This window comes from Homo sapiens, chromosome 2, assembly GCF_000001405.40.
Source record: "Homo sapiens chromosome 2, GRCh38.p14 Primary Assembly".
In the NCBI taxonomy this organism is placed as follows: Eukaryota; Metazoa; Chordata; class Mammalia; order Primates; family Hominidae; genus Homo; species Homo sapiens.
In genome coordinates, this window is record NC_000002.12 from 229,761,027 (window position 1) to 229,782,718 (window position 21,692).

The window sequence follows — 21,692 nt, forward strand, 5'->3', positions numbered from 1 at the left end:
GAAAACTTACTTTGCCTAGTCTATTAGCCTATAATAATTAAAGACCAACTTTTTTTTTATTTAGTTCTAGAAAGTTGAAAAACCTGGCTTGAATACTTAACATTCTCATTAGAACTATTAAGCTTTTTCTCAATGAATTTAGTTATTAAGCCTGTTTTTATTGATCACAGGGGCAACTACAATGACATTTTCTGAATTTAAAGTCCTTTTAAAATTAGTTACATTTTAAACAAGCGGTTCTCATTTATGTAGGAGGCCAGAGTGGTAAGACAACGTCCTCCTAATCGAAGGAAGCTGGGTGAGAGGGATGTTGTGTGTGTGAGGAGTAGGGGAGGACAGGATTGTGGCTTTTTCTGACTAAAAATCGTCACTTTTACATTCCTCTTCTTATCCCTCTCTTGTGCCTACTTATAAATTCTGCAAAGGTTTGATTTGTCACTAACTATAATTATTGGCTGAATATAAAATCTAAATGCTTTCCAAAAGCTGCAACACACAATTACTGTTTTCACTCAGTAGATAACGCGTTGATATTTGAACTATCTGGAAGTAGTAAGGGGCATTTTGAGTTGTCATAATGACTGGAAGGTGCTATTGACATTTAGAAGCAAAGGGCTTTGCTGTAACCCTCTACCAGGAAGAACTGCATCAAGCAAAATGCCTATACCTGTTAAGAAATCCTGGGAGACGTTTTAAAGAATCATACAAGATTTGAAGAATGTTACCATTAAAACATAAAGCTGGAGATCACTGAACTGGCTTCACAAAAACACAGAGAGTAAGGTTCAGTGGGGTTAGCTTCCCCTAGCTGGGAAGACTGGAGCCAGGACTACATCAGGCCTTCTGACTCTGTCTGGGGCTCTTTCTGCTCCACCAAGTTTATTTTCACAAAGCCCTTTACACAGGTCTGTGTGAGTTATCATGATGCCAGGGACTCTGCCTGGATGCCAAGGGCTGCATGTTCTATTCTAAGTTTTGGAACACACTTTGGGAATAGGACTGACTAGGATGAATGAGTTTTAACAAATGTCCAAATTCCATCAAGAAACTGCAAGCTGAGCCCATCGGGTTTTCTTTACATTACTGTTAACTTTACAGATGATCATTTCAACTAACAGCAGCTGCCCCGTATAACTCTACAATTGCCCACGTTAACATTAACCAGTGTTTAGACCCCTTGCAATCTGGACTTGTGTTTTCTGCCCTAATATCCCTTAGTACAATCTTCTTGATAATAAATTGTTAATAGTGTCCCTAATTAACATTTTGATGTATCATAGCCACATAGAAGATACCAAAATCGATTCCTGAAACCTCAATTCCCAATGAGAGTGCAAGAATCCAGCATGTGTGCCTGGGCCTCAAAGCCACAATGGGACATTTGAGCTGGCTATGGGGCAGTTCTGGGACCTGCTTCCTTGCAATTTCTTGCATAGGAAGGACAGCGTTATTCCAGGCATCAGCACGACCCTTCTTCCTGCCCTTCTCACATCAAGTGAGAGGAGGAGCAACATAGGAGACCAGCTAATCTTTTTTTTTTTTTTTTTGAGACGGAGTCTCGCTGTCGCCCAGGCTGGAGTGCAGTGGCGCGATCTCGACTCACTGCAGGCTCCGGCCCCCGGGGTTCACGCCATTCTCCTGCCTCAGCCTCCCGCGTAGCTGGGACTACAGGCGACCGCCACCTCGCCCGGCTAATTTTTTGTATTTTTAGTAGAGACGGGGTTTCACTGTGCCAGCCAGGATGGTCTCGATCTCCTGACCTCGTGATCCACCCGCCTCGGCCTCCCAAAGTGCTGGGATTACAGGCGTGAGCCACCGCGTCCGGCCCCAGCTAATGTTGAGGTTACTAACCTGGCTCAAAAAAAAAGAGGAAGGAATGACACAGCCTTCTGTAAGCATGAGTTAGAATTGTTCTGCAATGGCTGAATCTCTCCCCTCCCAAAATGCCTCCTGCTTTTGTATGCATTGGCCTCAAGAGTTTGCAGAGACATTGTGCTTTCTACCAGAACAGTGCCCCAACAACTGTCATTAAGATGGAAAACTTCATCCATATACCCATTAACATGCGAACACTAATTCATACAATCACATCAACCAGAAGTGCAATGCTACCCAGCTCCAAACACAGAATTGGTTATCTAGACAACATCAGATTGGTTATAAACTTCCATGCCTGTCTTGTGGTGAGCTTTTATTTAGTAGTGCCTTTCATCTCTGATTTAGAAATTTTACAGACCAAGAGATTTATCAAAGGAAACGTGTGTTTTTCCCTCAGGCAGTTGTATCAAGACAATGTATGTGTGCGTGTATATGTGCATATACGTATGTGAGTTGTGTAACTGTACACAGACCTTTAAAAATAAAATTAAATTCAGTCATCACTCTTCTAACAAAAATCCATCTTTCACTTTTGTAAATCAATTCTACTTTGCTTTTTCTGTTTCAGTGAAATAGACTGGACATTTGCTAAGGGCAGAAGAGCCAGTCTTGAAAGTCAAGCACGATGACTTCATAGTGTTCCAACCAGTAGGCCCTATTGTCTGTGCACATTTTCAACGCCAATGGCACTATTTTGCCGGCGCATAGGGATACCTTACACAAATGCTCCACCAACAAGCAGGTAGCAGGGCCACCTTTTTAAGTGTATTTGTTTTCTACAGCGTTCTCCACTATCTGCCTCCAAAAAAAGCTAAGTTCACTCACTGCATTACTTACCAAAATAGGAAGCTTTCCAAAAGTCACCCACGCAAGCACATAGCACTTCTTAGAAGAACCCTCTAGTTGTGTATAATTTAATAAAACTGACCATGTAGGATAATGCTGTTTATTAAAAATATAGTCAGGGAGAAGGAAGTCAGTGCATTTATGCAATTTTACATACACATCTGTAGTTTGAGGTTCCATTATTCCAACAGTTCATATAAATCACTGTTTCAGATAAAAGGAAAAAAATGCTTTACACAGGAGATCAGCAATTGGTTATAGGTTTGGAAATATGAGTCGGCTTGTAGTAAAAATAAAACCACCTCTTCCATTATTAAAGAATGTCTCCTTCATGCAGAACAAGTCTTTAGCATTAAGAACTTTTCCTTGCATAAGAATTGTTAACTTGAAGTTCTTGGAAAACAGCCAATCCTGTTTTCTATATTTATAAATGCTATTTTGTCTGGATTTTTTTTTTTGAGGTAACAAAGGAAGCATCTTCAGTGATTTGTCACTAGGTTATCCTTTACCGTGTATGTCAACTACTGCAATGTCAAACCTAAGACTTATACAAAAGCATTTCTCAGAGAATCATAAATACAGAATATGACATTTCCAAACAATTATTCTCATTACAGCAGGGAAAACAAAATGGATCAAAAAACAAAGCCTAAAATAAATGAAGGCTTGATCATTTTACTAGTAGAGAAATGAACAATAGCATCCAGAATCCTCCAAAAAGGATTTGGCATATGAATGCACTTTTATGAAAAACTTCATCACATTTTTTTTTTGGAATAGACTCCACTCTCATTTCCTGAGCTCACGCTCACAGACAGGAGTCGAGAGTACAGCTGCAGCACCTGCTAAGCCAGAAGGAAGACGGCAAACTTACAACTTACTCGCGACAGTCCTCAGTGTGGAAAATCAAGAGTTGTGGATCTAATTTCTTGGATACTGAAGTTGGTGCTCTGTCCCTTGGCCTTCTGTGGTAGGATGTATAGGATGCCCTAGGGAAGTCACTCCACAATACGGAGTGGTCACATTCATTTGAAGGCACCACTCCTTTCCATGTTATGCACCTAACTCAAACCCAGTAAAGAGGGACTCCAAGCATAATTACTTTCTTTATATCCTGCTAGTGAAAGTTCTGTCACTACAAATGCAGGGAACCAGAGACAAGCATGAGAAGAGAAAAATCTGCGTTTCTTACGATGAGTGGCTGTGTGAAAGGTTTCTGCTGGGTTTGGCTAAGGCATCTAAAACTCCGTGTCTGCTCCCAATTAGTCTACCTAGAACTTACAGTTCAGTTTTCTGGGGGGATAGGAAGAGGGGATTACATTTAGCTACCTCTTCCTTCTTGGAATAGTTAAAAATACGTTCTCATATATAAAGCAGATCGAATCAGTAACTGTCTAAATGACAACACAAATTCGGTGTTAGCTATGACTAACATCTGACTGACTCCATCTCAGCAAAAAATAAAGGACAACAAAATCTCAGTTGTTACCCAACTAAGTGTTTAAAGTATACTAAGAAGTTAGTGCTCGTTGATAGGATTACCAAGCAAATGAATTTAAGGCATAACTGGAGTAACAGCAAATGAAGTATATACTTTTTCCCTCTGGTGCAATAAGGCCTCTGCCAAGAGAGATTACTTTAAGAGTTTTCCTGCCCCAAATTAACCAAAGGTCCCGTGTATTGAAGGAGGAATAAGCTAAAGGCTGAGGCTTTTAAACAGGTAACGACTGACTTTGAAACACTCAAGACTTTAGAGTTTGAGTCAAAATCATCATATATACTTATTAGATGCTGGAATCAATGAGGCCAAATTTGCCAGGGCTGCAACATGGATAAAATGTCAAGTACAGATGAAACATTATTTTGTTTATACATGTCTAAATTTTAACAGAACCCTTTAAAAATCAGGAACAAAATGCTATGTTCACACAAAAATCCTTGTGCTTAATTTGCAGGAAGATATCAGAACAGTTGAAAACAAATTGTTTCAGTCTTTAACTTCACTTGATGAAGCTGCTCAGCAACTGTGCTGTTAGTGGTGAAAACTGCAGAAACACAATTCCCTTCTTGGATTTCAGGGAAAAGCCATTCACTTGTCAGTCTCTGCAGAGACAGGGAGAGAATTCTCTGCCCCCAACTCCTCTGACAGTTCCCTTCCACTTAATGGGGTCACTGCCCAAGTGAACTCTCAGGAGGGGACATTTCCATATAAGGCCATTTAAGTGTAAATTGACACAGCAATCTATGTCAAACAAGCCACTGAGTTTCTTTTGGGTGGTGGGATAGGGAAAAGGGCTTTTGTGTCAATTAATTAAAACTTACAGAACAGTCAAAAAAATTGATTTCTCAAAGTTCAATTAAAAAAAAAAACTAGCTCATCTCTTATTTTCAAGGAGATGAATTATGGAAAATTCCTTCAAATTTATGCCACAGGCCTAGTTTTGGACCTTAGGAAGGAATCTCCTCCCATTTTCTCTTCACATTTTAGTTTCTTCAAGTTGCTATTATAAATTGTTTGAATAGCAAAATCAGCCATGACCCGAATCATGGAGATATGTGGATTTCCTTGCATTGAAATACATCTATACAATTGAAAGTTATGCATACAGCACAAAACTATAAACAAAAAGGTGAAGCAAACTTTCTTTATTTTCAGGTAAAAACATTAACCTGATGGATTATTGCAGATTTGAGAAATCAGCACATAAAATGACTGGACAGCATTGCTTACAGGTGCTTTTATCTGCGTCGAGACAAAGGCTGAACTGTTTTGTCCCAAGTCAGCACTGGGAGAAGGGGAAGAGGAGCGTGGAATAAAGAAGACTATGAACAAAAACGTAAAACAACAAAGGGAAAAAAATTTTTTTACTCCAACAGGGAAGGAAAACTGCTTATTTTGTTTAAAAAATTTACATTAATTTAAAATCCTCTGGCCACAGAATAATAAATACCGGCCAGCCCAAGCTGTAGACTTCTTAACCTTCATAAAAGAAACAAATGAGCTTTCCTTGTCTCATTCCAGAGGCTGTTGCTGCTGGAATTGCCATGTAAACAGTCCTTAGTGTGTCACCTGGGAAAAAGCCAGTAATACCCTAAACTATATTAAAACTAAACTATAAGAAAAGTCTACCTAGTTACAAAAGCTGAATTATATTCAATAAATTTCAATCCAATGAATTTTAAATTAGATCTTAACTGGAGAGAACATGGGACAACAGAAGCCCATGGGTAACGAAAATTTGAGAACTGTGAGTTGTATACAAAAAAAAAACTGTGAGCTGCACAGATAATAATGAATCAGGGAGAGAAAATCAGAGGAAAGTGAAAAGCACATAGAGCTAGTCTACTAAACTATATTTGTCAAATACATGTGAGCTTAAATTTCTGTACTTATGTACAAGAGTTGTCTTTGGAGGAAAGAAAACTGCAGACTTAGCTAGATGGATACACACAGCCCAGAATTAAACTGCACAGCCACATTTATTGTTCCAGCCTGGAAAAACATCCCTTTTTTAAATTTCACACAGCAAAGCATGTTAAAAACTTCACTCATCAAATAAATGATAATTTAAACAAGAACTTGCTAAAGAAACCTCATCACAACAACGTTTTAGGGCCTGATCACTTTAAGTCCATGGGGCCATTAATGAATATCAACCAAATGTCTCTTTATAATCTGCAAGCCGTTTTTCCTACAACAAGAAGGCGTAACATGTTTCCTTGACTCAGGTGATAACATTAGAAAAGAAATCATGATTTGTTTCTTTTGCTGTAACAGGCAGACACTGCATTTCTTGCTATGATCAGGAAAGATGGAACGACTGCTGCCCTTCTCTTGCTGCTATCAACAGTTTTTCACGCATTATCTCAATGCTTGAATAGTCCGGCAACTTAAGATAGTTCACACAAGTCATTACAGAGGGCAAGAAGTCATCTGGGTTTTCTGTTGATTCAAACGTCTTTCGGACAATTGTCAAAGGTGGATTCAAACTCCGGAATCCTGATTAAGAGAAAAAGAAAGACAAGGAACTTAAGTTTTTAAAAAACATCAGCTATCAGAAAACATTCCACTGCTTTGCCGTACAATATTACACACAAGATATTCTTTCTTGCTTGGCAATTGCACATTCAATATACATTAAGTGCAAGGAACCTGCTTTAATTTATCATTTAAAAACTCGCTGTATAACATGGAGGCAACAGTTCTTTATGTCTTCTGATTTTTAAAATGGAATACCCACAGTGGTTCACGCCCGTAATCCCAGCACTCTGGGAGGCCGAGGTGAGCCAGTCGCTTGAGAGTTTCAGACCAGCCTGGGAAACATGGAGAAACCCTATCTCTACAAAAATACAAAAATTAGCCAGACATGGTGCTGTGTTGTGCCTGTAGTCCCAGCTACACAGGAGGCTGAAGCAGGAGGATCTCGCCTGAGCCCAGGAGGCAGAGGTTGCAGTGAGCCAAGATCACGCCACTGCACTTCAGCCTGGGTGACAAGAGTGAGATCCTGTCTCAAAAAACAAAACAAAAACAACAGAATACCAATTTAACTTACATTAGGATTCAATCTGAAAAACCAGATTTTAGAATCCATTCTCATCTAAGTCAACTAAGAGTTTAGAATGTACAAATGGCCTGGAATTTTATCTAACCAGCATTACATGTGCATTAGTAATCCTACTTCAATATGTTTAAGACAATCCCCATGGATTTCCCTGCTAGTGGTCTCAATGTACTATAATGATACTGGAATAACTAAGAGGCACTGCAAGTGAGATAAAGAATCTCCTGCTGATGGTACTGAAGTTTCACACTCACAAACCCACCCATAGGTAGAATAAATGCTAAACATCAACATCGTACCCACCTCCAACAGGCAATCTTGGGCTACCAGTCACAAACTGGAGAAATAACCTCTGCTGCTCATTATCAAAACTACTGAGAATCTCAAACAAAAACTTCACAGCCCGACTATAACAGAAATAAATATACCAAAATTATTTCATCAGGTTAAAATAGAGTTTTAATCACACTGCATCGCATCACATGACATAAAAATTAGATTAGCACTTTTAAATTACACATACATTTTCCATTACAATGTACTTAAATTCGTTTCTGTTATGACTAGACTAGAATTCAAATGGAATGATTACAGTTGTAATAAGTAAGACTTGATCTGGTACTGTACAGATATTTCTGCTTTACTATATGTAATAATGGGGAACAAGATTAAATCTGTCTTCCCCAACCCCTAGTATTTTCACAGAAATACTTGAGAAAGAAACCCTTGGGTCTTAATTTCCCATCTTCAGAGAAATAAGGCCAAAACAGAAGTAAGCATCCATTAACAGGTAGACACATTTTAAAATGAACCACTCCAACTTTTGTTGTTTACACATGTGCGCATGTGTGTGTACACACACACCCCTCTCCACATTCTTCAGAATCAACAGAAAAACTGGCAGACCCCAGTACTTACCTGTCATGAGTATAACCATGATCAGGCCTACAGCATTCCATCAGTGTCTTTGCATCCCAAGTGTCTGCTTTACTGCCACAAAGGAGCTGATCCAGCTGTGAGTTTAAATAAGGGTAAAAAGAATTACTAAGGAAACATTTGTTTACGTGAGTGAAAATAAAGGTCTACGTGTACCATAAAAGAGTATCAGTCTCAGTACTAAAACCTTCTGCTTGGGACCTCTTTCCAAAAAAAAAAAAATAATAATAAAATAAAATAAAATTTAGAGATTCCATTTCCTTTTTAGCTGTACGCTATTAAGTACCCTGCCCATCTGCAGGGACTTGGTTCCTGAGAAACCCTTCCTCTCAAACCAAAAACACCTGATGACCCTTGATTTCAGTTTTCCTTTCTTCTCATTACTTTAGGTGCTTTAAATGGATAATCTGCTTCTAGTCAGGGAGATTTTATAAATCCTGGCTTTCAGAAACACAAAGGTATACAGTAACAGATGCCAAGGGAGAGAACATTGAGCTGGAGAAAGAAGTGGGAGAAGCAAGCTGAACTAGGACACAGCAAATGGGTAGGTCTTTACACTTTGTAGAGAGGCATGTCTACGCTACATGGTTGGTTGTATGGGGACCAACCCAGATATTATAGAATGAATATTAGAAAGCAATAAATGCTTTCATGTCCTTATACTTTGAGAAAATCCAATTTGAGGCCAATGAAATTTAATATCTATTATATAATGCTCACTGTCTGGTCCTATATATTTAAAGACAAAGCTTTGCTCTGTTGCCCAGGCTGGAGTGTAGTGGCCTAATCACAGCTCACTCCCGTCATGATCTCCTGGGCTCAAGTGATCCTCCAACCTCAGCCTTCCAAGTAGCTGAGACTACAGGTGCATACCACCACGCCCAGCTAATTATTTTTTTTATTTTAGACAAGGTCTCACTATGTTGCCCAGCCTAATCTTAAATTTCCGAGCTCAAGTGATCTTCCCACCTCCATCTCCCAAAGTGCTGGGATTATAGGCTAAGTCACTGTGCCCAGCCTATTTAATTTCCATTACTCTGTGATAGGGGTTATTCCAATTTTACAGATGAAACAGTCCTATCAGATACAGTAACTTGGATAAGGTTATACAGCAAGTGGTGAGGACCATGATTCTATTCCAGGTGACAAGCAGTGCCTACAAGTATCAGGCACACTACATGCTTAAGTAGACACAAATATAACTGAGATTAAGACGTTAAGTTAATCAAAAATTTATAGATTTAATCAGTAGTGAACATACACTCTAAAACTAGTATTCAAACAATAAATAAAAAGGTTTCAAAACTGAGGGAAACTGGACACATTCTAGAGGCTTTCTGTATCTCACTACCAGTGAGTAGTTCTTTTGAGATTTGGCACTTGAAATTAAAGACGGTAATATGGTTTGGCTGTGCCCCTACCCCAAATCTCATCTTGAACTGTAACTCCCACAATTCCCACCTGCTGTGGGAATGACCTGGTGGGAGGTAACTGAATCATGGGGGCAGGTCTTTCCCAGGCTATTCTCATAATAGTGAATATGTCTCACGAGATCTGATGGTTTCAAAAAGGGGAGTTTCCCCGCACAAGCTCTCGTCTTGTCTGCTGCCATGTGAGATGTGCCTTTCACCTTCCACCATGATTGTGAGGCCTCCCCAGCCACGTGGAACTCTAAGTCTAATAAACCTCTTTCTTTTGTAAATTGCCCAGTCTCGGTTATGTCTTTATCAGCAGCATGAAAACAGACTAATACAGGCGGCTAGAGAAAACCAAGCACATAAATCCATTTCTTCCATTCTCAGAAGTATTCTCTGTATTTGGCAATTAGATAATTTATAATACTTTCTTAAAACTTCAAGGACTAACTTTGATTGTGAAACAATGTCTCATCGAAACGAAGTTTAGTTAAGGAATAAAGTCAAGCCCCCTCCATGTCTCTCTTTGCTTCCACAGCAGTACAGAAACATGTAGAACATGCCACACACAGCACAAGTCCCCATTCTCCACTGAATGGCATTGAGGGTCTTGGCTGACAAAGATGCTATGCTTACTGTCACGCGTGGAACCCGCTCCCCAATCTAAGAGGGGACACCTATTTAACATTCTTCCTTGCTCAGGCAATTTCCTTGTCTTTCCCAAACATCCATCCCCTGCTATCTAACACCCATTTTTTTGTTTTTGTGCAACAATACGGTCTTTGACTAGGCAGCACAGAAACACTCCACTAAAATTATAGGTATGACCATTTCTTTTAGATATAAGCTACTCACTTCCTCCGGGTAGAAGTACTGAAGATGACTGAGTGGGAAGACTGATTCAAATCCATCTCTGAACGAATCAAATTGCCTAGAAACGCCTTCATTTAGTGCCCAGAATATAACCAGCTGCAAAAAGAAAGTTTTCAAAAAACTGTGACAAGATTTCAAATCTCTTTACTATTTAATATGTGGCAAAGTACAGTGAAACACCCTTCTGGATCACTTTATAAAGAACAAACAAGTTATTAAGACTTTAAAATAATCTGCTAGAAAACTACATGAGTAAAACATCAGGTCAACATCTAATGTGGGGCCCCTACCAATAACAAAATGTAAAAAAAAAATGCCATGTGCATTTACATTTAGTGTGTTTTAAAAATCTATTTATGTGAAACCCATGCCATACAGTTATATTACCTCACTGGATGGGAATCAAATGAGAATTTCCCAAGAGGATAAAATGTTATTGAGAATTAAAGGTAATGTTTGAAGAATCACAATTAGCCACTATTAAGGGTTTTTAATTTTTAACGTAAAATGTTTAGTTCTAAATCCTGTGAAGTTCTTAGAACCCAACCTGTCTGCAGTGTGTGCTTCCTACTAAAAGTAGGCAAAGCCTGGAAATGAAGTCACATGCAATTGAAGGGTAAGAAAAAGCAACTCTTATTGGTCCAACATTATCTAGTCATCACTGACTTTGGGTAGCCCAATGGGTAGAGAAACAACATTTTCAGATAAAAATGAAAACATTAGGATTTTCTTGATAGAAAATTATAAGCATTAGTATAAATTATTTTGAGATAACCTTAATCTAAATGTTAACTCATTATTTGCTAGTAAGATGGAAGAATAGCTTTCACAAAGTCAGTAGAAGAAACAGGATAAGAAGACAGTCCTACTGAATACTAAAAGGAATTACTTATGAATCACAGAACTGTTAAGTAACAGGGGACTCTGGTTATTATTATTATTTTTGAGACAGAGTCTCGCTCTGTCGCCTAGGCTGGAGTGCAGTGGCATGATCCTGACTCACTGCAACCTCCGCCTCCTGGGTTCAAGCAATTCTCTTGCCTCAGCCTCCCGAGTAGCTGGGACTACAGGCGTGCACCACCACGCCTGGCTAATTTTTGTATTTTTAGTAGAGACGGGGTTTCACGATGTTTGTCAGGCTGGTCTTGAACTCCTGACCTCGTGATCCGCCCGCCTTGGCCTCCAAAAGTGTTGGGATTACAAGTGTGAGCCACCACGCCTAGCCAGTTATTATTTAACCTATATTCTCTCTCTCTCTCTCTTTTAAAGCTGATGAAGAAAATGGTGATGAAGTTCTTCAGAGGCTCCATCTAAAGTCACAAAGCAAGTTAGTGGAAAGGTCAGTTCAAGGGGTAGATAGCCATTCTGACCTAAATCCAATGCCCCTTCCACCCAATGTCAGGAATAAACCAAAACAAATTTTTCAAACATTGGTAATAAGGATCTATATAGTGGTAATTTAAAATACAATTTGTGTTCAATATAAAATTATTTTCCTGAATTTAGCAAATATAGTCAAGCATCACAAATTAATATATACATGCTTTTTTTTTTTTTGAAATGAAGTCTCATTCTGTTGCCCAAGCCAGAGTGCAGGGGCACGGTATCGGCTCACTGGAACCTCCACCTCCCTGGTTCAAGCGGTTCTCCTGCCTCAGCCTCCTCAGTAACTGGGACTACAGGTGTGTGCCACCACACCTGGCTAATTTTTGTATTTTTAGTAGAGATGGGGTTTCACTATGTTGGCCAGGCTGGTCTTGAACTCCTGATCTTGTGATCTGCCTACCACGGCCAACCAAAGTGCTGGGATTACGGGCATGAGCCACCGTGCCCAGCCTAATATATATATATGTATGTATTTTTAAGAGAAACGATCTTGCTCTGTCGCCCAGGATCGAGTGCAGTGGTGCAACCTTGACTCACTGTAACTTTGAACTCCAGGGCTCAAGCGCCCTCCCACCCTAGCCTCCCAAGTGGCTGGGACTACAGACTCATGACACCACACCCAGCTAATTTTTGCATTTTTTTGTAGAGACAAGGCCCCTACTTTGTTGCCCAGGCTGGTCTTGAACTACTGGCCTCAAGTAATCCTCCTGCTTCTGCCTCACAAAGTGCTGGGAGGATTACAGGCGTGAGCCACTGCACCTCGCCCATAAGTTAGTAATTTGAAAGGTGTCACCAAACATAAAAGTGTGCACTGCACGGTGCCTGGAGTAAATTCTGTCAAGCTAGCTGCCTTGATGGAAATGCAAAAATGCAATTTAGTGAGAACACAAATAATGTCTCTTTTCACTTGTTTTTTAAACTAAGAAAACGTGGTGTAATTAGATAGCATTCAAGCCTGAGGAGAAATAATTCAAGGTTATATAAGACAGGAAATATCTGATATGTGCACTCAAGAGCAAAGAGAAGCTAGTGCCTTGTAAAGCAGCCTTCATGCAGTGGTCCTGGGGATGTGGAAGGTCTCAAGCCATAGCGTGTGCAGCCAGAAGCAAGGTACAATCAGGCAAAGTCCTCCGTCTTCACAACTGGCCTACCCCCCAAAGACACAGTTACATACTCTTAGATACTCCTCTAAATTGTGGATAGTGACTGGTATATCCTTCCCTCCTTTCTTCAGTTCGATATTGGGAAACCCTGGCAGAGTGAAATCCAGTCCTAGATCTTCAACTGAGCAGCCATTCATAGTCAAGGTTTCTAATGCATACTGTAGACTCTCTTTGGTCTAAAAAACACAAATGGGGGAGAAATGGTGTCAAGCAAAATTAACTTACGGTTGTTTAAAAAAATAAAAGATATCCTAATAAAATATAAGCTATCCTAATAAAGCTGATGGGTTCAACTCTTAGCCTCTTTATTTTTTTCCTGGTCATAATCTACATATGAAAGAGTCACTGAGATTACAAAGGAAGTAAGCATAAGAAAAGAGAGCTGAAGTGCTTCTTCATTATGAGATGCTGCTGCTCAGTTTAAGCATATGCAAATCAAATTTCACAGTAAGTGCATAATAGGTTGCATATTAGTTAATTTTAAGAATGTGGACCCTAGAACTAGACAAACTTTTCATAAATTCTAGGCTAATTTTGAATCCAATACTGTATAAGTATACAGCCAATACTAATAATACAGTTGGGAAATCGTAAATATAAAAAACATACTATCTAGTGATAGTGATTAACTTTCTACCCCTGCAAAGCTCAAGTCTACAGAATGAAGCCTGGAGAGACTTCATTCAACTACTTCAGGCCTCTGATGCATAACAAGTTTGTATCTATGCAGCAACACTGTGATCTAAAAAAAAAAAAAAAGTTCCAAGAAATCCCTAAGAAAAGGCAAGCAATACTTTATAAGACAAACGTTAAGAAGTCTTTATTACTCACTTTTTAAAAAATGTCTAAGATTATGAAAGGCCCATGTAAATTTTTTTAAACTTAAGGATCAAAAACCAACATGCAAAAATGCAAATTCCATCTAAAACTGAAGACAACAAGTTAGGAGAAAGAAGACAAATGGCTTTCCAAACTGGAAATGCCTCCGTGTATGAAATTCCTATAGGGTAACAATTAAGGTACAGAAAATTAGTCATTTAAACTAGAAACAGTTAGAATGTTCTGATTAATTAATTAGTCATTTTTTAAAGAGCAAACTAAATGCTGTTTAGGATTCTAAATAATTCAGAATATCAATGAGGTGGCAGATTATTGAAAGTAAATGGTCACAGAATTATGTCCATTTTTACTTCTCTGCAAAAACCCACTTTTAAGCCTCTCTCCATTTTAGGTGTCATTTGAAGACCTCCAAAGGGAGGCATTTTATTTTACATTTGAAGTATTCTTCAGCACAAAGATTTAAAAAAAAAAAAAAAAAGAAAGTTCTCCATTTTCATGTTCCCCCCACTGGTAAGCTCTCAAAACTATCCTCTGTGACTCCCTGTCACAGATCAAGGTGATTACTATTACACCACTGGAAAGTCTTCTCTCATAGCTACCAAGGAAATATCTTATTTCTAAAGATGTGCATTACAAAGTGTTGTTATTAGATAGGAATCTAGAATTTACAATGTCCTAGAGATGTTTAAAAGGAATTTACATTAGTTTCTCTAGATTTTATATATTAAGTCGAGAAACTAACGTAAATTCCCTTTAAACATCTCTAGGACATTGTAAATTCTAGCACATTTTCCATATTTCTTTAGAGAATTTAAGCTACCCAGTAGAATCTGAGCCAGGACAACTTGCCCCCATCTGTATATATACTTTATTAAAGAAACAGGATGTGGTTTTTCAGAATGTCACCATTTCTCATGCTCTTGTTCACAGTTGGTTATTATAATAAGTCAATTTCTGGAGTGTGGATTCTGTGCCACTCATTTTATATTTTTAAACTGACAGCATCAGGAACAATAAAGGATAGAACAAATCTCAAAAAAACAAACAAACAAAAAAACTACTGACAAGAGAACTGTGGCGGCATACTGCATTTGAGACAAGCATATATCACAGAGCTTGCATGGTGTGGAAGCATGCAGACAGCCTGGGTTTGAGTTCCTACTCTGTGTTCTCTAGGTGTGTGACCTTAGGCAGGTTGCTCAATCTGTCTGCCCTGGTTTGCTCACCAGTAAAATAGAGGTAACAACAATACCCCAATCTCATATGGTAGTTGTTGGGATTAAATAAATTAACATATATATGCTATCTAAAACAGAGCCTCCTGTTTTACTTGCTTTTTTGTTTCTCCTTTTTTTGTTTTTCCATTATTTACCTAAGAGATAATCCTAAACAACACTGTAATAGTTTAAAACTTACCAAGTTGTGAAGGGAAAATCAAAATGGTTCTAAAAATTCTAAAATGACAAATTCTGTACAGAAAAGGTGGACTTAGCCTCTTTGAATACCAATTTCTCTTAACAGACTTACTTTTTCAAACAGCACCAAATAATTACAAATTAGTATGGGAGATAAAGTGAATCTTACAAATCTTCTAATAAAAAGACACTCTAAAATCCTATCCCTCTACCATAAGATCCTCTCCAACTCATCAGGAGAGGTGACACTCTCCCTCACTACAGAATCTTAACTTGCTATTCTTACTTAATTTATAAAATGAGAGTTGATTAATATTGGTCCATGTTACCAGCCCAAACAAGCTTTTTGGGTCTGTGCCACAAAAAAATAGAATCTTGTTTTCTTCTAATAGCAGATACAGAACCATTATTAATCTCAGATTGAGTTAAATAATTTATCTATTGTTAATTATATACATTAAAATTATACAGTAATGATATGAAGTTCAAGGTTATCTATGAGATGTCACAGAGAAACCTCAAAATGTATTACCAAGGAATAGTTGTTGGCACTCATGGTGACCTTTAAAAAATATCTTCCTGAGATCTCTAGAAACAAGACTGTTCCTAAATTAAGCTACCTTTTTTGAAAATAAATCTGTTCTGAGAATAGTTTTACTGACTCAAATGCTAAAAGATGATATAATGTCTGCCCAGATACATAATATGTCCATCTAAAATTTAATTGAAAGGAGTCCTTATTTATGGTTTGATTTAGAATTGTATTTGCTAATCAAGATGTTTATAGCCTGCTGTGAGTATAGGTCATGTGACCCACTGTGAAATCATATGTCTTAGTTAGTACAATAAAAGAATTAAAATCTTCTAAAATAAAACATTAATATAACAACTGAGTCAAATACAAACTATTTAACAAAAGCCTCATTTTTCTAAAATAAAGACTTGATCTACTGGACTGTTTCTTCTAAGCCTACCTGGGATTTATCTTGTTCAAGTCTTTTCTTCTGTCTGACAATGTCTTCTAGGTGATAAACTGATCTGGCTACAACTGGGTCGATGTCAAACAAATCGTGTGATGTCAGTGAAGTTTCTTGCCGTAGCATCCATTTATAAAAGGGTAAGCCAAGGGGAAGGTCCACCTGAAATGGAATATGCATAATATTTTCACTGTCACACTGAACTTCCAGCATTACCTCCATCTAAGGCACTTCAGGAGATCATTTAAATATTAATAGGTCAAGTAATCCCCAAGAAAGAAAATTCTGTAGTTACAAACTATTTCTCCCACTACACAAAATTGATTCTCTTGATTTGGGGCTCTAAATGCATTTCCACTGTAGTCTGTATTACTGAATATCCCAATGCAAAAAATGTTAAGGGAAAAAACTTACTATATTTAAAATAGAAAACTAAATGGAACTTCTAAAATAACTGATAAACTGCCCACTCTTCAGTTAAAGTGAAATTGTAAACTTGTCAATTTGGCCACAGGTGAAAATGTCTTAAACATACTGATAAAGTGCCTCCGAAAACATGAGAAGAGCACGGTGGCTCATGCCTGTAATTCCAGTGCTGTGGGAGGCCAATGTGAGAGGACTGCTTGAGGCCAGAAGTTCAAGAGAAAAAGAAATGAAGAAATGTCCAGAAACATTCCAACCTCTATGAATACTGATCACTCGGGTTATTTTCACAACAGCACTCTAATGTAAATTTAATGAAGTTTAGTTACATGCACAAACTTTCCTACTGAATTAAAAAGGTAATGTCAGACTTTAAAAAATAAATAATTAATACCACCTTAACTTGCCTGATTATCTGAACCCTTGCTATCCAAGGAGGGGTCCACAACCTGGCAATCGGGCATGCCCTGGGAGCTGACAGGAAAATTTAGAATCTTGGACAGTAGGACAGTCTTACCCCTGCCCTACTGAATCAGAACCGGCATTTTTAACAAAATCCCCAAGTAATTCATATGTGTATTGAAGTTTGAGAAGCATTGCTCTAAACTATAGCAGTAAACTACAGGGGACTGAGGTACTTGCACAGAACATTCTACACCAAAACTGCAAAAAGCAAACCATCCTAAACTTACCAATCTGAAATCCATGATAGCCTTGGCCATTAATTTTCCTAAGAAGCGAAACTTCATCTTAACCTTTGCGATATGAGCTGGCTTTGCTGTCCTACCAAAGGGAAGCGCAAACAGGCCCTGGAGGTTTTGAATATACTTGGTCCCTTCTTGGCTCCCTGAAAAACAAGCAATGCAGCAAACTTCAGATGATGTTTCCAAAAACAAAACAAAACCTGGTAACTAAGAACATTTAAGAAATTAAGCATTCTCAAAATTGGAGTGCAGATCACTGAATGAAGTCCTCTAGAACTGGACAGGCCTTCCCTATTTGATAAATGAGAAAACAGAGGCTAAAAGAAAGCAAGTACAGCTGTCCATTAGAAATTAAATATGTCTAATAAACTGTCAGAGTCCATTACCTGATCTGAGTAACACAAACCAACTAACTTACAGATAGGCATTACCTTTTGGATTGCTAAGAGTTACTTCTTCACCTCTCCAAAGACCCAAGTCAGCTCTCTGTAGTTCCTGAGATACAAGCGCATAAAACTCCAGTGTAGGCCCAAGACCTGTACCAACCTACAGAAGAACACAAGTAGAACGATTTCAAATTTTAAGAATTGTGTTTTTTTACTGCCAACCTCTTGGAAATGTGCACACTAACAGCAACTGTTTACCAGGATGCATTAGAGATTATTTTCCAAAATGTCCTGGCTGGATTTATTCTTTCAGTCCTGGTCACCTGAAACAAAAACTAGCAACTCTTTATTATTTCCTAGCCGCTAAGGCCCCAACATGTCAGTTGAACAATTTCAGGTTGTACTCACAGAAGTGCCACTGTGGCTACATATCTTTCCTTCAGGAACAATATGGCATTGTCTGCATATGGATGTCTTTCCCCTTTTTCTCTTTAGTGAACTGTTACCCCAAAACCAGCTCAAATGTCACCCTCTCAAGGGGAAGGCTCCCCCCAGCATCTGCTCCCAACAGTTAGTCTGTTCCTTTTTTCTTGGGGCTTATTTTTCAGCTACTTAAATACTTACTACATGACTTTACCACAATTTCAGTATATGCTTGCATATTTCACAGGATGATAACTATTTTGGTCATCCTGTTATCTCTGATAGTACCTGACACACAGTAGCCATTTAATAGAGATATGTCGAATAAAATACAAATAATGGAAGGTCTGATTCCACACCAGCACAGAAAGGACTAACGGCCTCATACAGGACACCAATGCTTCTCAACTCCCAGGGTGCACTGGAATCCCCAGAGCTTTATCAACATGCACATATAGGGGTGCCACGTCCTGAAGATTCTGATCTGGCAGGTACAGCTTAGAGCCTGGGCACTGGTATTATTAAACAAGTTCTGAAGGTGACTGTGCAGCCTAAAGTGAAACTACTCCTCCATGAGACACCTGATGTGGACATGCCTGAAGCAGTGTTCATAGCTTGCTCCTTCCTTCACGATCTGTCAAGGTCCCGCCAGATCAGACCATAAACAAAGATATGCAGGTAGTGACAAGTTCATATCACAGGTTATACTCTAAGTCTAACTGTAACCCTGTCAAGAAGGCAACATTTATAGATTACTTGTAAACAAAGGGTACTATTTTAGCATTATTACAGTTACTCTTAAAAATTACCCACACTAGCTTAAAAGTTTAGAGGTAGTCCACTAAACGTTTAACTCTCTCAAAACAGAGATCTGCTTGGGCCTAGTGGTGCTTTCCTGATTAACCCCAATCCTATTAGAATTCCACACCAGTAAATGGTATCACCATTAAACCCAAAATGAATAATCCCACCAAATCCTTAGAGCCGTCCTTGGCCATTCTTTAAACTCGCATAATCCAATCCATCAGAGTAAATACAATAAGCGCTGCCTTCAAAATGCATTCTAAACTAATTACCAACTTTACCCAGCTGCCATTCTCTGTCATCTGGTCCACTGCTAAAGCCTCCTAGATGGTCTCTGCACTAGCATTCCCGACATCTTGTATCCCATTCTCACAGGAGCAAGCGTAATCCTTACAAAACACAAGTTCGCGGCATCCCTTTGCTACTTTCCAAAGGTTTTCCATCTCATTCAAAGCACAGCTCCAGTTCTTACCACGGCCTACATGACCCCTCTGCCCACCCTGCTCAGTCTCTCTGACTCCTACTACTCTGCCCTTGCTCTCTATGCTCGAGCCACACTCATCCTCCAACAGGCTAGGAACACTGCTTCTCTGTTCTTGTGCTAGAGATACTCTTCCCCCAGACGCAATGACTTGCCTCCACTCAAATGTCCTCAGACTGCCCTACGCATCCCCATAATGCTTCATCCTCTTATTTTTACTTTTCTTCCACATGGCCTAACATATATGTGTACATGAATGTGTGTGTATGTATTGGCCTCCCCAAACTAAAAGATAAGCTCCATCATGGGGGTGGGAGTACTTTGTATATTCTGTTCTGCACTGAATCCCAAGCACTAGAGGCCTGAGGAACAAAAGAGAAGCAAAGAAAAACCTGCAGTAACACATGGTATCCACTAGATGGTGCTAGTCAATTCTCCTTTTGGCATAACATTATCCCAGGTTCAACAGAAGTCACAGATCAAATTAGTCTATTTCCTTCATCCAATGCTGTTGTTTCTAAAAGGATTCTTAAAATATTAAATCACTAAAAGCACTTCCTCTGTGAGCCTCTGCAGAAGGTGGAAGGCCCAGGTCATGTTTGCTTTGCTGATACAACCTGGGGGTGGCCAGCACCCCCACAGAGTAACCTGATCTCTTCAGGGATTATCATTCTACCCAACTACACCACTAAAAGTGTAGGTACTTGGTTGAGCTTCATTTTTCTTTTTAAAGGAAAGGAAAGCATAAAACCCCAGAAACAGAAAAACAAAAGTTTGACAACTTGACTTAAAATGGAATCTTTTTCTCTCAAAACTAACACATACTGGCACTTATTATGTGACAATGGTCTGAGTGTTTCACACATTGCAGCTCATTTTATCATTCTAACAACATGAGGAGGCAGCTGCACTAATTATGTAAAGGGCTGAGAGGACACTGATGAGTTTATGTTAACTTGCCCAAAATCACATAGCCAGTAAGTGGGCAGGCCAGGCTCCACATTCCCTGCTCCTGATCTTCCACATTCCCAAAAGGATACTGGGTCACTGGGTCATTTGTAACCCTAATCCTGGGGGTTTGGGTGGCTTGTGAGCCCAAAGACTGGTATAATCCTTCCCTGGCTTACCAATCATCCCAATTCAAATAGGAGCCCACACTGTGACCTGACATTTTCACTGGGATTCTTCTAGAGCTAGTTAGAAATTCTTCCTAAAGGCCACCAGCTGACATGTACAGCTGAATTTGAATCATAACCTGAAGCCCTATGCATCTCACAAAGTCAGTGCTTGTGAGGTAGGGGTGGAGGTACTTTCCCCTTCCCCAGTGAAGCAGCTCCTGGAATCTTTTCCGAGGTCAACAGGTAAGACCCATGAAGGAAGGGCATAAAATCTTGACCTTACATTAGCAATCCAATCCTGCTCCTTAGAACAACCTGTGTGAAGACATTTTGAGCTTGTTTAGGTTTCACGCAAGATGCAATTTTAACAGAACCATGAGGGATGAGAGAGGAAAGATATTTCCTGGCAAGAGAAAAATATGCTGAAGAAAGTGGAATGTACGTTTAAAGAGACTAAAAACATACCAAATGGTTAGAGCAAAGGTCCTGCAGTCTCATAAGTAACAAATTTGGATGCACCAACATATAAGAATCGCATCCTCTGAGCAACAGCCATGATCAAGCTAGATTCAAAAAATCCGTATCTCTTATGCCAGCAGTCCAGGGCCTCCACTCCATCTGGCCTCCTCCTTTCTATCCCCCTTCTCCCAACACTTCTACAGCAGTACTAACTTCTGCCACTCACCACCAAGCCTGACCCTTTGCTCAGGCCCCATCTCCTACTAGAAAATGGTTCCTCAATCTTCCTGTTCTCTTTCACTAAGGTCTAACTCAAGACATCTTGAGGACAGCACTCCTTGTCTGAATGCGTCATTCAGTTGGCACCTGTACCACTACCTTGCCACACTCTTTGGTACCTTTGTCCTGTGTCTCCCTAACTACACTGTAATCTTTTGAGTGCAGAGACTCTGCCATAACCTGGAACCCTAGCATGCAGTATACTTTCCAGTACACAACAACTTATAATTTTACCTTTGGTGACTGAATACTCTTAGCTTTTTAAAAGTCATCAAGAAGGAGAAAATGCTTAATAAAATGAATGAAAAATCAAAGTCATGATTA

The 21,692-nt window shown here is 39.1% G+C and overlaps 1 protein-coding gene across 58 annotated transcripts in view; it reads right to left on the minus strand.

Annotated features, from left to right (window-relative positions):
- Positions 2,811-21,692, minus strand: part of TRIP12 (thyroid hormone receptor interactor 12) — a 159,350-nt gene continuing 140,468 nt past the window's right edge. For all 58 annotated transcript variants that reach the window (NM_001284216.2, XM_047446397.1, XM_047446395.1 and 55 more), the window contains 8 exons: positions 17,850-17,964; positions 17,407-17,561; positions 16,289-16,453; positions 13,071-13,235; positions 10,493-10,606; positions 8,205-8,299; positions 7,590-7,693; positions 2,811-6,724 (listed from right to left, as the gene is read on the minus strand). In NM_001284216.2, the coding sequence (NP_001271145.1) occupies positions 6,528-6,724; positions 7,590-7,693; positions 8,205-8,299; positions 10,493-10,606; positions 13,071-13,235; positions 16,289-16,453; positions 17,407-17,561; positions 17,850-17,964 (1,110 nt within the window). In that variant the 3' untranslated portion in view covers positions 2,811-6,527. The remainder of the gene's footprint in view (positions 6,725-7,589; positions 7,694-8,204; positions 8,300-10,492; positions 10,607-13,070; positions 13,236-16,288; positions 16,454-17,406; positions 17,562-17,849; positions 17,965-21,692) is intronic.